At 38.9% G+C, this 16,240-nt stretch overlaps 1 long non-coding RNA gene across 4 annotated transcripts; it reads left to right on the plus strand.

Moving 5' to 3' along the window:
* Positions 1-1,608: 1,608 nt before the first annotated feature.
* On the plus strand, positions 1,609-8,443 carry LOC105379448 (uncharacterized). Of its 4 annotated transcripts, none has more exons than XR_950683.3 (3): positions 1,609-2,740; positions 5,964-6,014; positions 6,328-8,443. It is a non-coding gene; the product is annotated as an uncharacterized LOC105379448 (long non-coding RNA). The 4 variants fall into 4 exon arrangements; XR_950684.3 differs by having other exon boundaries at positions 6,342-8,443; XR_007061557.1 differs by lacking the exon at positions 1,609-2,740 and having other exon boundaries at positions 4,430-6,014.
* The last annotated feature ends 7,797 nt before the right edge of the window (positions 8,444-16,240 follow it).

Here is a 16,240-nt window from a genome sequence, read left to right on the forward strand (position 1 = left end):
ATTTATTGAGTAAGACCTCAAAAGCACAGGAAACCACAGCAAAAATTGACAAATGGGATTACATCGAATGAAAAACCTTCTGCACAGGAAAGGAAAAAATCAACAACGTGAAGAGACAACCTACAGAATGGGAGAAAATATTTGCAAAGTATTCATCGGATAAGGGATTAATAATCAGAATACACCATGATGCTCAAACAACTCAATAGCAAAAAAAAAAAAAAAAAAAAACAACAACAAATACTCTGATTTTGAAAGGGGCAAAAGATCTGAATAGACATATTTCTCAAAAGAAGAAAATCAAATGGCCAACACATAAATGAAAAAATGCTCAACATGATTGATGATCACAGAAATGCAAATCAAAATCACAATGAGATATCCTTGCACCCCAGTTAAAGTGGCTATTATCAAAAAGACAGAAAATGACAAATGATAAGGAGGATGTGGAGAAAGGGAAGTGCTCATACACTGCTGGTAGGAATGTAAATTCGTACAGGTACTGGAAATCTCCACACTGAAAAGCACTGTGGAGATTTGTCAATAAAACTAACCATAGAACTACCATATGATCCAGCAATCCCACTAATTGGTATATGGCCAAAAGATAAGAACTCAGTGTATCAAAGAGATATCTGCATTCCCATGTTTATTGCAGCAGCACTATTCACAATAGCCAAAATATGGAATCAACCTAAGTATCCATCAATGAATGAATGGGTAAAGGAAATATGGTATATATACACAATGGAATATTATTCAGCCAGAAGAAAGAATGAAATTCTGTCATTTGTAGCAACATAGATGGAATTGGAGGACATTATGTTAAGTGAAATAAGCCAGATACAGAAAGACAAATATCATGCTTTTACTCATATGTGTGGGCTAAAAAAATGGGAGGTAGTGAACAGAATGGTGTTTAGCAAAAACTGGGAAGGGTAGTGGGAGGAGGGCATGAAAAGGGGTTGGTTAATGGATATAAAATACAGTTAGATAGATAGAAGGAGTAAGATCTAGTGTTTGGTAGCACAATAGGGCAACTATAGTTAACAGTAATTTATTTTGTATTTCACAACGTTCTCAACACAAGAAAACAATAAATGTTTGAGGTAATGAATATCCCAGTTACCCATATCTGATCATTACACACTGTATGCTTGTATCAAAATATCACAGGTATTCTATAAATATGTACAACTATTATGTTTTCATAAAAATTAAAAATAAAAACTAGACTATTAATTGTTCTACTTTGTGGACATAAAATATCTTTCCATTTATTTGTGTTTTCTTCCATTTTCTTTCATCAGTGTTTTATAGTTTTCAGTGTACAGTTCTTTCACCTCCTTGGTTAAATTTACACCTAAGTATTTTATAAGTTTTTTGTTGCTATTGTAATTGGATTGCATTCTTTTTTTTTTTTCTGCCTCCCAGGTTCAAGCGATTCTCCTGCTTCAGGCTCCCGAGTAGCTGGGATTACAGGCACCCGCCATCATGCCCGGCTAATTTTTTTTGTATTTTTTAGTAGAGACAGGGTTTCACCATGTTGATCAGGCTGGTCACTCTAATTCCTGACCTCAGGTGATCTGCCCACCTCGGCCTCCCAAAGTGCTGGGATTACAGGCGTGACCGCCGCGCCCAGCCGGGATTGTATTCTTAATTTCCATTTTGGATAGCTCACTATCAGTTTATAGAAATGGTAAATCACCCTTTGTGGATAAAGCATGGGTACTCAGCAATTAGGAATAAACCCTTCAGCTAATGTCTAAGTTGCTTTCATTGTTACTTTATCTGTTTGATTTCTTGTCTAAAGTTTGATAATGGCAACTAACCCATTTTTAAGAGAAATTAAAATGGATAACATGCATGTGATATTCTGTGAAAATTGCATGACTTCTTTTAATTAATTTAAGGAAACTATAGATGTGTAGTTAGGGCTTTAAACCAAACTGGTGCAATTTATTTTCTGCTAAATTACAAAGTTATTTGATTGAATTGACAAGTAATATTGCTTTGTTTTATTTTTAATTCGTTACTGTGCAAATTCACATTTGGGGAATGTAAGATTATATAGGAAACCTTGAACCACCTTTAAATAACTATATTTTTATTTATTAAGCCACAAACAGTTTAGTTATGTTGTTATGAGCAAATATATTTACTATTTTTTCTCTGCAATAGGAATAGAGATTTCTTTTGCTCTTCTATCTCAACTGAAAAGCATATGTTTTCTGGATCACTGCCATTGGCTCCTTCCATAGTATTTAATAAATATATGCATTTCATAGTGTTAGGCTTGTATAAATACACTACTAACTTCTCTTCACTATAAATGAACTTGAGCAACTCTCATATCTACAATTTCTAGCACCAGAAAAGTGACATTTTCCTTTAAGATGGGTAATAGGCCTTTTGAGGTCATGGTGGAGTCATATACTCCCTTTTATGACAATTATTAGCACCACGTGAGGGCAGAGAGGAATGTAAAAAAAGTATCATTTCAAGTTACTAAGCTACAACCTGCCACCACTGATGGCATGTCCACTTACAGCTCACGAGCCAGCTCTTCATCAATAAGTGCTGCTTTGCAGTGGTTTGTAATTGAATTGTATGATGTAAATGTGGAGACAGCCAATCATGATGTTACAGGATCTTTGGGGTGTCGATTTTCTTGCCCAGAAACCTCTGTGGACAGTGGCATCTTTGCCTGAGTTCTTGTCCTGCATCCAGGAGGAATGAGGTACGCAGACAAAGGAATGGCGAAAAAGATTAAGAGGAGTTTTATTTAGTGTTAGAACAGCTCAGAGAAGACCCACAGTGGGTTGCTCCTCTCTGCAGGCAGGTCGTCCGGTGGAGTGTTCAGCTTTCAGCAGAGAGGAGGCCCTGGCGAGTGTGGCTCCTCTCTGCAGGCTGGTCATTTGGAGGTCTCTGCAGGTCTCTGAAGCTCTCAGTAGAGGGGAGAGTTCGTCTCTGCAGCTGGTCATCCCATCGTCTCTCTGTCCTCTGCCCTCTCTGGCAGAGCCCAGGGCTTTTATGGACCTCAGAAAGGAAGAAGTACCTGCCAACTGGTCCATGAGCAGCCATTGGCGGCCCAGAGGAGGGACAGATCCCCAGTCCTGTCCACAGGATTGGCAGTCTGGCTCCCAGCCTTCAGGCCCTCCCCGGCTTGAAGGTGGGGCTTTACTGGGGACCCATCCGCTTCTGCCCAGGACTCTCCCTCCCCCTGCCATTCAAGTCCCCAGGGCTCGACCAACCCTGTTGGGAGATTAAAGAGGGTGCCAGAAGAGGAGAGAGGCCAGGCAGTGAGAGCAGACATCCCGGAGCCAGCAGGGGGTGGCGGGTGCAGGCTGCCAAGATGCCAGGGTCCTGTGCCTGGGAGGGTGGCCTTAGTTGCACCCAGGGAGCTCCCACCCAGCCAACTCAGAAGGGGCGGGGCTTCTGCTTGTCTCCGTCTCCTGCCTGCTCCATGGAGCCGGAAGCCCAGGTCTGCAGCAGTGGGTTGGGTGGCTGCAGCTGTACCCAGGAGGGCAGATCCTGTCGGTTCCCAGCCCCCTCCAAGAGCACAGGGAAGCTTGGATCCACAGCTGCAGTTTGGGCTGGGCTACAGCCTGCTCCGTAGAGCAGGAGGCCTGGGTCTGCAGCCGCACCAGGGAACTCATACCCCAACTCAGAAGGGGTGGGGCTCCCACCAGCTTCATGGAGTATGCAGGCCCAGCCATGCCTCCCTGCTGTAGCCCGCATGATGGCTGCAGCTGCTGCCATCAATGAGAGAAAAAAAAGACAAAATTTACCAACATCAGTAATGAGAGAGGTGATCTCACTACATACATTACATATATTAAAAGGCATAATAAGAGATTACAATGCAAAGCTGTATGCCAGTATGTTTGACAGCTTAGAAGTAAAGGCAAATTCCTTGAAAGATGTAAACTACTAACACTGACTCAAGAAGAAATAGACGACATGAATAGTCTATTAATTAGATTGAGTTTATAGTTAAAAACCTTCCCACAAAAATTCCAGGCCCAGATGGCTTCGCTGGAGTTTTCTAGCAAACATTTAAGGAAGAAATAACAAATAAACATAAACTCATTCAGAAAATTGAAGAGGAGAGAATACTTTTGAACTCATTCTACAAGTCCAGCATTATTCTGACACCACATTCAGACAGACATTTTTTTTTCTTTTTTGAGACGGAGTCTCGCTCTGTCACCCAGGCTGGAGTGCAGTGGCGTGATCTTGGCTCACTGCAACCTCCACCTCCTGGGTTCAAGTGATTCTCCTGCCTCAGCCTCCTGAGTAGGTGGGATTACAGGTGCCCACCACCATGCCCTAATAATTTTTTGTATTTTTAGTAGAGACAGGGTTTCGTCATTTTGGCCAGGCTGGTCTCGACCTCCTGACCTCATGATCCGCCCACCTTGACCTCCCAAAGTGCTGGGATTATGGGCGTGAGCCACCATGCCCAACCTAGACAGACATTTTTAAAAAGTAAAAATACAGTACTTCATGACCACAGATGCAAAAAAATCTTAACAAAGTTTCAAAAAATTGACTTATACCAGTAATTCAAGTTTAGTTTACCATAATAAAATCAACCAAAGCAATTTGGCATAAAGACAAACATTCTGCAAAACAATTTGGCAGTTTCTTAAATGTTAAACAGATATCTACCATATGACATAGCTATTCTTGTCTAGGTATTTACCCAAGAGAAATGAAAGGATATTTTCATATGACCATCTGTGCATAAATGGTCATAGTAGCTTATTTATAACAGATGAAAACTGGACACAATTCAAATGCCCATCTTCAAATGAATGAACACACAAATTGAGCTATATTCACACAACGAGATACTACTCAGCAATAAAAAGGAATGAATTATTGATACATATTACACATTAATGAATTTCAAAATAATTCTGCTGAAAGAAAAAAGCCAGATAAAGAAAAGTAAATACTGTGTGGTTCCATTTATATGACATTCTGGAAAATAGAAACTAATCATGAGAGAGATCAGATCTGTGGTTGCCAGGGATTTGAGGGAAGCAGGGAGGTTATGGGGGAGGGGTTATCAAGAGGGAGGAGAATATTTTGCTGGGGTGATCGATATATTCCTTATTTTAATTGTGATGATAGTTTCATGGTTGTATACATATGTAAAAATTTAACAAGTCCTGCACTTTAAGCATGTGTGTTCATCATATGCCAATAAAGCCTCAATATGGCTGTTAAACAAAAATTACCGAACTGCTAAATATGTGTATCACTCTAGGAAATGAAAGACACCTCTTCAACTGCTTTTGTGTCTTGACTTTTTTCCCAAAGGAAGACCTATATTTTGCTTCATTTCTTTCTACTCTACATTTCTTTTTACTCTGCTTGCATTTAGTTTAAAAGAAAAAGCTCTCTGTTGGTGATTTCTAATCTATTTTAAAGTAAATAATTGTACTGTCCAATTAGAGACTGAGATAACTCATGAATTATCACACAGGTTGTTCTCCTGTACAATATATATGATTTTGAGTACTAATATTACACAGTGAATTCAGAATTGTGTGTATGTACATACATACCATAGTCTTATAAATAACTTCAACTTGCAATAATTAACTTGCAGTTAATTCTTACAGTAGTATGAGTTTGGGCCTCTTAAAAAAAGAACTAAAACCAACTCCCTGCCTGAGAATAGAAACACACACACACACACACACACACACACCAAATTGAATAATCTTGTTTTCTCGCTTACAATTGTGGGCATTCATTTATGGAATTCTTGGCAGCTATGTTAGCATAAAACCCCACCTATAATTATCATTCATATTAGAATAATATTTCACAAATGTGGTCAGTATTGTCTTCTGCAACATTACAGTTAGTTGGTGGAATAAGTTCTAGTGTTGTACAGCACTATAGGGTAACCACAGTAAACAACAGTGTGTTGTCTTTTTTTTCAGATACCTGGGAGAGAGGATTTTTCATGTTACCAACACAAAGAAATGATAAAGGTTTGAGGTCATGGGCATGCTAATTACCCTGATTTGATCATTATACATTTTATACATCTACTGAAATATCCCACTGTACCCCATAAATATGTACAATTATTATGTGTCAAGTAAAATATGAATATATATAGTAAATAAATAAATGAAGTAATTTGCCATTACTTAACATTTCATTAAATGTATGTTTCCAAAATTATATTTGTTCTTGAGACCTTTTGAGTGATCACAGTTTCTGCTATTCTCCATAAGGCCTCAGTTTGACAGGGTGATGAAATCTTGAATAAAACTCAAAAGAATGTGTTTGTATTTGCAGTGCTTCCCTTGCAGGTGAAATGGCCACCAGACCCAGGCTTTCTGGAATGCATTCATTTTCTGCAGTTGAAAGGGACAATCCCGGATCTGAAAGAAAGAGCCACAGTGACTCCAAGAGTGGAGCCAGGGCATGCTGGACACTGCATAGCTATGGCCACGTGTGTCACCTCTGAGGGAGATGTGAGAGAAACGCAGAGGGATCGCTTGTGACTGTGCCTTCTCGATGTATGATGGACTGTTCTGCTCAAATAGTAAGTGTGACCAAGGAGCCGGTGAACATAGGAAACAAAGAATATTTCATTTGACATTATAAGGAATGCGACAATTCTAGTCACTTGAAAGTGAACTATATCTGTCGAGAATTCCTAGTTTTAATTGGGAAGAAATGCGCTTCTCTTCTTGAAAAGCCACAGGTTATTGCTGTTATGTCTAATATCAGTCCTCTCTGGATTTCTCAAAAGATTTTCTGTATATCCTACCATTTTCCTTCTGTTGCTGCAGTTTGGAAGTAGTTTGTTATCAGGATTATCAAAGCATCATTGCTATTTATGACAATGACTTTAAGAAATGCAAGAATATTTGGAACACTGTAGAAAAAATATTTTAGCCTGGAAGGCAAATACTAATTTCAGGAACTATTGATCTGTTATAAAACAGGACCACTCAGACATTTAGCTCTAAGACTTTCACATATCCGTTGTTAGAGGCGTATAGTGGGGGGAATGACTCAGCTTCTGCTTAAGTACAAGGTGTTGTCTGCAGCGAAGGAAGAATTTGATTGTAGTATCAACAGAACCAGACAGAACTCTTTGAATATAATTATATATCTTGGAAACTGACTCATCAAAGCTATTAGATTACATGGCATCATTTAAGCATCACTGGGCTCTGTACTTTTCATTATCTGTACTTTTCATTATGGAGTATAATAGGCTTTATTTGGTACAGAAATTGGGTCTAAGATGAAACAACTTGTGATTTTTGAATAAACTTTTGGGGATTAGTTACTTTGATGTTGTCAAGATAGCACCATAGTAAGTCCTCTGTCTTTCCTCTTGATTTATTTATAATTTAGAATCAGTTTATGATTTTAAAAAATGTGACAGACACAGTGGCATGCACCAGTAGTACCAGCCACATGGGAAACTGAGGCAGAAGGATCACTTGATCCCAGAAGATAGAGACCACCCTGGGCAACATAGTGAGAGCCCCATCTCAAAAAAAAAAAATCAATTCCCAATACCATTCCAGAACACTTTTAATATAACCAGATGAAATTGTGATCACTACTTTACTGTAATGTTTAAAATGGTCCTCAGTCCATATTTAAGTACAATCTTAGTGTTTCTGTGCAACCTAATATATTAGAAACAAAAATTGTATTGCATTTGAATAGGAAATACTCTGAATTGAGGGTTATTTCTTTTAACAGTTGCAATTAGATTGGTTAGTGACAATTATCTGTAATTTTCAGGCAATGCCTAGGCAAGTGCCCAAGGCACAGTAGCCTCCTCCTTGCCTCCGTGTGTGTGTGTGTGTGTGTGTGTGTGTGTGTGTGTGTGTGTGTGTAGGGTGGTAACATTTCTGGGAATTTGTCTTAACATAAAATGATACCACCTTTCACAAAACGACCTAGAGGAAGTTGGAAATCCCACTATCCTGGCTTCCTGCTGAGCAATATCTGCTTCTCTTTCTGACTCAGGCTGATGCATCTGTATACTTAGCTTCACTTCTCCAGTAAATAAGGGAGAGCTTTATTATAAAAGACAACTTCTATTGATTTTCAAGGGGGTGGGTGGTTGTCAAGCTCACTCCTTTCTATGCACTGAGGGAAAATTATTGTAAGCGATCTGTAAAACAATAGATGAAAAAAGAGGAGATAAAAATTAAATAAAATTTAAATAAAAACTAGGATCCTAAGTGGAAAAATAGCTTTAAATTAGAAATTGATACCAAAAAATAATGATATGTAATCTAAGGTGAAAATATTTTGAAGACTATCACGATATCTCCCTTAAATGTTATTTAGTTCTGAAAAATATGTATTGAAGAACTGTTATATTTTACTTTATGTCATATTAAGTGTGGTAAAATTAAAGAGAAACAAGTAGATAAAAGTAAAGATTGTATTATTATTTTATCACTCAGGTTATTTCAAGACTGGAGACATTCTTTAAATAAACCTAAATTATGACTCCTTGCACTTAAGTTTTGCTAACATAAAAAGTATGTATGATTTCAGAGATTTCTGCATATTTTGGAATGAGCTCTTCAGTTGCTTGTAATTTCCAAGAAGATTACCCATTTTACCCCTTAACTAAAACCCCTGTTCCTTTACTGCCTTGCTGCTTCACTTCATGGGGATATGTCACTGACCAGAGAAACGATCACATTGAATTTCTGAGCCACGCTGTTTTGTATGGTTAAAATAAGATGCTCAAAGTATGATTTCACAAATCACATGGTTATTGCCATGCAAGGAGAATTTGTTTTCTTAAGTTCACAATGCTCAAAAAGGAGAAGAATAATGTGAACAAATCTACAGGGAATACACTCAAAAGATGAGGCACATTAACCACAGAGGGAGTGAGTTCCAAATATTAAAGTCTAGTTCCTGAAGTAGAAATGGAAGCAGGCCTCTGTGGAAAGGCAAATCGAATGAAAGTTTGAGGTGCACCTTTTTTTCAAGCGAATTCTCTGGAGAGATGGTGTCTTGACACCATGGAGATCCTCAAAGACATCTGGGGTCCCTTGACACCAGTGGGTGGTGCCAGTGATGCAGGCGAGGCTTCAAAGCTCAGCTGCTGACAGGGTGGGGCTCTGTTGCTGCATGAGTTCAGTCTTCCAAGAATTGACTGGCAGGGCAATCCTGTCACAGAATATGCTCTCCATTTTTGGAGAAGTGGCTGAGACTTACTGAAGTTCTCAAAGTGTTCATCGAGCTCTTATGTTTATATGTATTTTGAAATCCAGTGGTTGAGGTCAGTAACTCACATATGATGGGTCTGATGAGCTTTGACATTGCATTCTTTTCCCCCCCACGAGACGGTGTCTTGCTCTGTCACCCAGGCTGGAGTGCAGTGGCCTGATCTCAGCTCACTGCAACCTCTGCCTCCTGGGTTCAAGTGATTCTGCTGCCTCAGCCTCCTGAGTAGCTGGGATTACAGGCGCACGCCACCACACCCGGCTAATTTTGTATTTTCAGTAGAGACGGGGTCTACCATGTTGGCCAGGATGGTCTCGAACTGGCTACTCTCAAACTCCTGACCTCATGATCCTCCGTCCTCGGGCACCCAAAGTGCTGGGATTACAGGCAGAAGCCACCGCTCCCGGCAGACACCGCATTCTTGAGGGCTGGAGGGAGTACAGTCTAAGTTCTTGTTACAGCAAAACATAGCAAACTATGCAAGTCTTTGGAATAATTCCAAAACTACATAATAGACATGAGCTCCAAGCTTACTGATTTATGTGTGTGCCTTCTCTGAGGAATATCTTTTGGTTATCCTTGTGCAACATGGCAAATATTTTTTAAAGTGAATGAGAGTTAATGAGAAAATTAAATTATAAAAATATTATGGCAATGAGGTGGATCATCGCAGTGTTCAAGCTACAGATAAAAATATGACATGCCCTCCAACTTTCATTCTCTTTTATTTTTCAGTAATATTCAAAATATTTATTGCAAAAGTTAGCATTTCAATGATGAAATTAAGATGCCTTTCAGTTCAAGTTTGGCAATTTTACATATTTCATGTGAAACTCTGATTTGAAATGTTGCTGAGGGTCTTTAGTATTGCATATGAATAATAAAAATCAAATTTGCCACATATTGGAATAAGATATACAGTATTTTATATGGCAAATGTTTCTCTTCCTTTTAAGAGAAGAAGAGAAATATTAAGGTGGTTATTACTCAAGTGAATCCTACTTTAAAGTAACTTTCTAATAGTTGAGAAGTCACTTATGCATACCTACGTGAGGAAGAAAGTTGAATTGACTGTCATTCATTCAGCCCAGTGGGACATCAAACTCTCCAAACCTTTCACAGTAGGAAAACAAAGCCAGGCCTCCTTAACTATGCTACATGGCAAGTCAAAACATGAACATAATATCTGAAAAAGCCTGAAAAACAACTCTGGCTAACTAGATCTCATTGCAGGCAGTGAGAGAGTGGTGGCAAATGTGAACATGTCTGTGTGGGGTGGTGGCAGGGGAATTGGAATATACGAATCCAAGGAAAACTGACTCTTGGCAAATTACTTGTTTTGGTGCTCCTCTTCATTTTTTTTATTATGGTAGAAGACTTTGTATACAAATTTCTCACTGTACAAAAAACAAGTTCTTCAGTTATTGCATTTCTGCAATATATTAAAATACACGAGAAAATCACATTAAAAAGAGGCATGATTATAGAAACAAAATGTTATTGCAATACGATATCAACTTATAATTCATAATTATTTTGTAAATATCAAATTATAAGTAATTTATGAGAAATTAGAGCCAAAGCTTTTCATACTTACTTTAGTGTTTTTCTAAAGGGAAAACGTGGTGAAAGAATTGTAGAGAAGACACAGCTTATCATTAATCCATTTGTCTTGATACTTAACACAGTATTGGTGGCGCATTGGTTCCAGGACTCCCTGGGGAACCAAAACCCATGGATGCTTGAGTTCCTTATGTAAATGATGAAGTATTTGCATGTAACCCACACATACACTCTCTCTTTAAATAATCTCTGGGTTACTTATAATTCCCAATGCAATGTAAACACTATATAAATCGTTGTTTTACATACTGTTTTAAAATTTGTGTTATTTTTAATTTTTGAAGATATTTTATCCATGACTGGATGAATCCATGGATGTAGAACCTAGGGATAGGAAGGGCTGACTGTAACTGAGCTCAGAGATTCTGGAAAAGCACTTAAGTAATCAATATTCCAGGAAGGGGGACTTAAAAAGATCCTTGACTCTACATGAGAAGTTTTAAATACAGTTTTTTTTTTTCCTTTTTAGGGAGTTTGCAGGTCAGGTACAGGCTAGACTGACATCAAGATTCAGATTCCTTTTACTTTGATTTAAAAAACTTAGCTGATAGCAGTTTCACCATTTTAAAATGAACATGAAAGAAGAAATTGTAGAGATAATGCAATAATTAAAATTATGACTTGCTAGCATCAATGAGTTTACACAAACATTTGATAATAAATGACTGGGAAACAATGCCCAACCAATGATATACATATATATATATATATATATATATATGTATGTATAAGTAAGAAGTGAAGTCAAATATAATTACAGCATTTTGTTTGGTTTTGCTTTTGTTCTTTGCTTTGCTTTTGTTTAACAATGAGAATCTATCCAAGCTATTATTAACATTTGATTACTTAGATGTCAAGTTTTGCTTTTAGTTCATAAGGAAACAGTCGATTTTATCGCTGGATACTACTGGTAGAAACTTTGAATTGATATTTCGGTGAAAACCAATTTTCATTGAATTGTCAAACCACAAATGCTATATATAATAGCAATTTAGAACAAGAAAAACAACCTGATTTTGATTAAAATGAGGATAAATAATGAAAAGTCACCACAAAATAAATTTTACTCTGTTGCTGGCTTTTGAAGAAAATCATTTAGATATTAAATCTATAGATAGAACATTTCTCTGCCTCATGTAATATTTTATTCTTAGTTAAAAGGTTTGAGGTATAAAGTAATGCATTGTATTTCTTTGTAGATCCTCCCAGTTATAGATATCCTATGAAGCAAAGTAAATCGGGAAAGGAGATAGCAGATGGAGTGGCAGCTTATGACATTCTATAAGTTGGTTAAAAATATTTTCCTCTTAGTATATAAATCTTGGAATTGATCTCTTAACCTTTTTGGTAGCACTAACAGGTGGTTTATTTTATGATTTTTTTCCTTGGTTTCCCTTTGCTTCCTGTCTTTTTATCACAAAGTTACTCTTCATTTGAATGCTTCTATTGGAAGAAATTGTTAGGTTAACAGAATGCAAGGAGACAAGTCATCCTGTCAGGTACAGAATTCAGTGCTGTCAAATTTCTTGTATTGGGGAAAATTTTAGGTAGGTGGAAGAAAAACCTTTCCCTTCACATAACAGATCAAAAGTGTCATGTCACCAGCATGAGAACCATTTGTCATGCTGAAAGAAACTTCTTTTCTTAAGTTTATGAATAATTACATCATGAGTGACAATCAAGATAAAAACTGTACTTTTATCTAAGTGCACATGTAATCGTGAGTAAAGTGCTTCCTGAAAGATGAGCAAGTATATTGCTTGAAAAATAATCTTACACTTATCTGTCTCACTTAGCAATCAAGCACACTGAAACGTGTTATTCTTCTAATAATTCAGGCAGGAAAAAATGTGATCAAAGTATTTGTAAAATTCATAGCTTCTGTCTATGTCTTCATCAGTGGTCAACCCAGAAACTTTCATTTAATGAGACAACTAAGATTAAGTTTGGAATAAAAGAACTGTATGAATTAATTTTAGAATGCTATATTATTTGTCTTCTGACTTATGAACTGTATGAATTAATTTTAGAATGCTATATTATTTGTCTTCTGCCTTCATTTAATTCTTATGGAATTTGAATTTTTCATAAAAAGTGGTTCTGAGCAAGTGCTGCAGTGGATACAAGATAACTGGATCCTAGCACTGGCTCTTCCATTTACAAGTTGCATGATAGACTGTGACAAGGCATCTGATATGGTTTGGCGCTTCTCTGTGTCCCCACCCAAATCTCACGTTGAATTGTAATCCCCACTGTTGTGGGAGGGAACTGGTGGGAGGTAACTGGATCCTGGGGGAAGATTTCCCCCTTGCTGTTCTTGTGATAATGGGTTCTCTCAAGATCTAGTTGTTTAAAAGTGTGTAGCACCACCCCCTTCACTCTCTGTCCTGCTGGCCAAGTGAATATGTGCTTGCTTCCTCTTCACTTTATGCCATGATTGTAAGTTTCCTGAGGCCTCCCCAGCCATGCCTCCTGCACAGCGTATGGAACTGAGAGTCAATTAAGCCTCTTTTTAAAAATAAATTACCCAGTCTCAGGTAGTTCTTTATAGCAATAAACTAATACAGAAAATTGGTAGCAGAGAAGTGGGACATTGCAGTAAAGATACCTGAAAATGTGGAAGTGACTTTGGAACCGGGTAGCAGGCAGAGGTTGAAACAGTTTGCAGGGATCAGAAGAAGACAGGAAGATAAGGGAAAGTTTGGAACTTCCTAGAGACTTGCTGCATGGTTGTGACCAAAATGCTGATAGTGATACGGACAGTGAAGTCCAGGCTGAAGTGATCTCAGATAGAGATGAGGAACTTATTGGGAACTGGAGTAAAGGTCACTGTTGTTATGCTTTAGCAAAGAGACTGATGGCATTGTGCCCCTGCTCTAGGGATCTATGGAACTTTGAACTTGAGAGAGGTGGTTTAGGGTATCTGTTGGAAGAAATTTCTAAGCAGCAAAGCATTCAAGAGGTGGTCTGGCTGCTTCTAAAAGCCTATGCTTATTTGCATAAACAAAGAAATGACCTGCAACTGGGACTTACATTTAAAAGGGAAGCAGAGCATAAAAGTTCAGAAAATTTGCAGCCTGGCCGTGTGGTAGAAAAGAAAACCCATCTTCTCGGGAGTAACTCAAGAAGGCTGCATACATTTGCATAAGTAAAGAGGAGCCGAATGTTAATAGCCAAGACAAGGGGGAAAATGCCTCTGAGATATTTCAGAGAACTTCAAGGCAACCCCTCCCATCACAGGCCTGGAGGCAAAAATGGTTTTATGGGCCAGGCTCAGGGACCCACTGCTCTGTGCAGCCTAGGGACATGGCACCCTGCATCATGGAGACTTCAGCTGCAGCATTGGCTAAAAGGGGCAAGATACAGCTTGTCCATTGCTTCAGAGGGTGTAAGCCCCAAGCCTTGGTGACTTCCACATTGTGTTGGGCCTGCAGGTGTGCAGAAGGCAAGAGTTGAGGTTTGGGAGCCTCTACCTAGGTTTAAGAGGATGTGTGGATGTCCAGGGAGAAGTCTGCTGCAGGGGTGGAGACCTCATAGAGATCATCTACTAGGGCAGTGCAGGAGGGAAATGTGGGGTTGGAGGCCCCACACAGAGTCCCCACTGTGGCACTGCCTAGTGAAGCTATGAGAAGAGGGCCACTGTCCTCCAGATCCCAGAATGGTAGATCTGCTGACAGTTTGCACCATGTGCTTGGAAAAGCCACAGTCACTCAATTCCAGCCTGTGAAAGCAGCCATGGGGGCTGTATGCTGCAAAGCTACAGGGGCAGAACTTTCCAAGGCCTTGGGAGGCCACCCAGTGCATTAGTGTATCCTGGATGTGAGACAAAGTCAAAGGAGATTATTTTGAAGCTTTAAAATATAATGACTCCCCTGCTGGATTTCAGACTAGCATGGGACGTGTAGCCCTTTTGTTTTGGCCAATTTCTCTCATTTGGAATGGGAGCATTTACACAATGACTGTACCCTTATTGGATCTTGGAAGTACGTAATTTGTTTTCGGTTTTATAGGCTCATAGGTGGAAAGGACTTGCCTTGTTCCAGATGACACTTTGGACTTGGACTTTTGAGTTAATACTGGAAGGAGTTAAGACTTTGGAGGACTTTTGGGAAGGCATGCTTGTGTTTTGAAATGTGAGAAGGACATGAGATTTGGCAGGGACTAGTGGTGGCATAATATGGTTTGGCTATGTGTTGCCACCCAAATCTCATGTTGAATTGGGACCTGGTGGGAGCTGATTAGATCATGGGAGCAGATTCCCCCTTGCTGTTCTCATGATAATGAGTGAGTTATCATGAGACCTGATGTTTTAAAAATGTGTGGCACTTCCCCCTTCACTCTTTCTCTCCTGCTCTGCTATGGTAAGACATGCTTGCTTCCCCTTCACCTTCTACCATGATTGTTAAGTTTCCTGAGGCTTCCTAGTTATGCTTCCTGTACAGCCTGTGGAACTGTGAGTCAATTAAACCTCTTTTCTTCATAAATTACCCAGTCTCACTGGGCGCAGTGGCTCATGCCTGTACTCCCAGCACTTTGGGAGGCTAAGGTGGGTGGATCATGAGGTCAAGAGATTGAGACCATCCTGGCCAACATGGTGAAAACCTGTGTCTACTAAAAATACAAAAATTAGCTGGGTGTGTTGGCATGTGCCTGCACTCCCAGCTACTCAGGAGGCTGAGGCAGGAGAATTACTTGAACCCGGAAGGCAGAGGTTGCAGTGAGCCAAGACTGTGCCACTGCTCTCCAGCCTGGCTACAGAATGAGACTCCATCTCAAAAAAAAGAAAAATTCCCCAGTCTCGGGCAGTCCTTTATAGAAGTGTGAGAACGGACTAATACAGCAACTATTCTTCTGTGTCTGTTTATTCATCTGTAAAATTGAGGAGATTGGAATAAATGATCCCTCTATATCCCTTCTACCTTTGATGCTTTATGAATCCAGGTTAAAGTGTGTGGTACAATTTAAGAAGGCTCCTTTTAATATTTGTATATCCATTAAGGACTCTTAGCTCAGAACTTCAGTATTATTCAATGACTCTCTCTTTCTGTCTTCCTCCTTCTCTCTCTTTACCCGCATTCAGATCAACATATAGAACATTTCCATTACCTAGGAAGTTTCCTGTGTCCTTTCCAAAACAATCTCTTATCACCATTGATTAGTTTTGCCTCTTCTTGAACATATAAATGGAATCATACAGTATGTCACCTTGTGTCTTGCTCATTTCCCTTAGCAAAATGTTTTGATATTCCTCCAATTTTTGGTTGATATTTTTAGTTCATTCCTTTCCACTGTTATGTACTCTTCCATTATATGAATGGAATTCATACAATGGATTTGTTTATCCATTCTTTTATTGATGAATTTT

The sequence above is a fragment of the Homo sapiens genome, chromosome 9, assembly GCF_000001405.40.
Source record: "Homo sapiens chromosome 9, GRCh38.p14 Primary Assembly".
Classification (NCBI taxonomy): domain Eukaryota; kingdom Metazoa; phylum Chordata; class Mammalia; order Primates; family Hominidae; genus Homo; species Homo sapiens.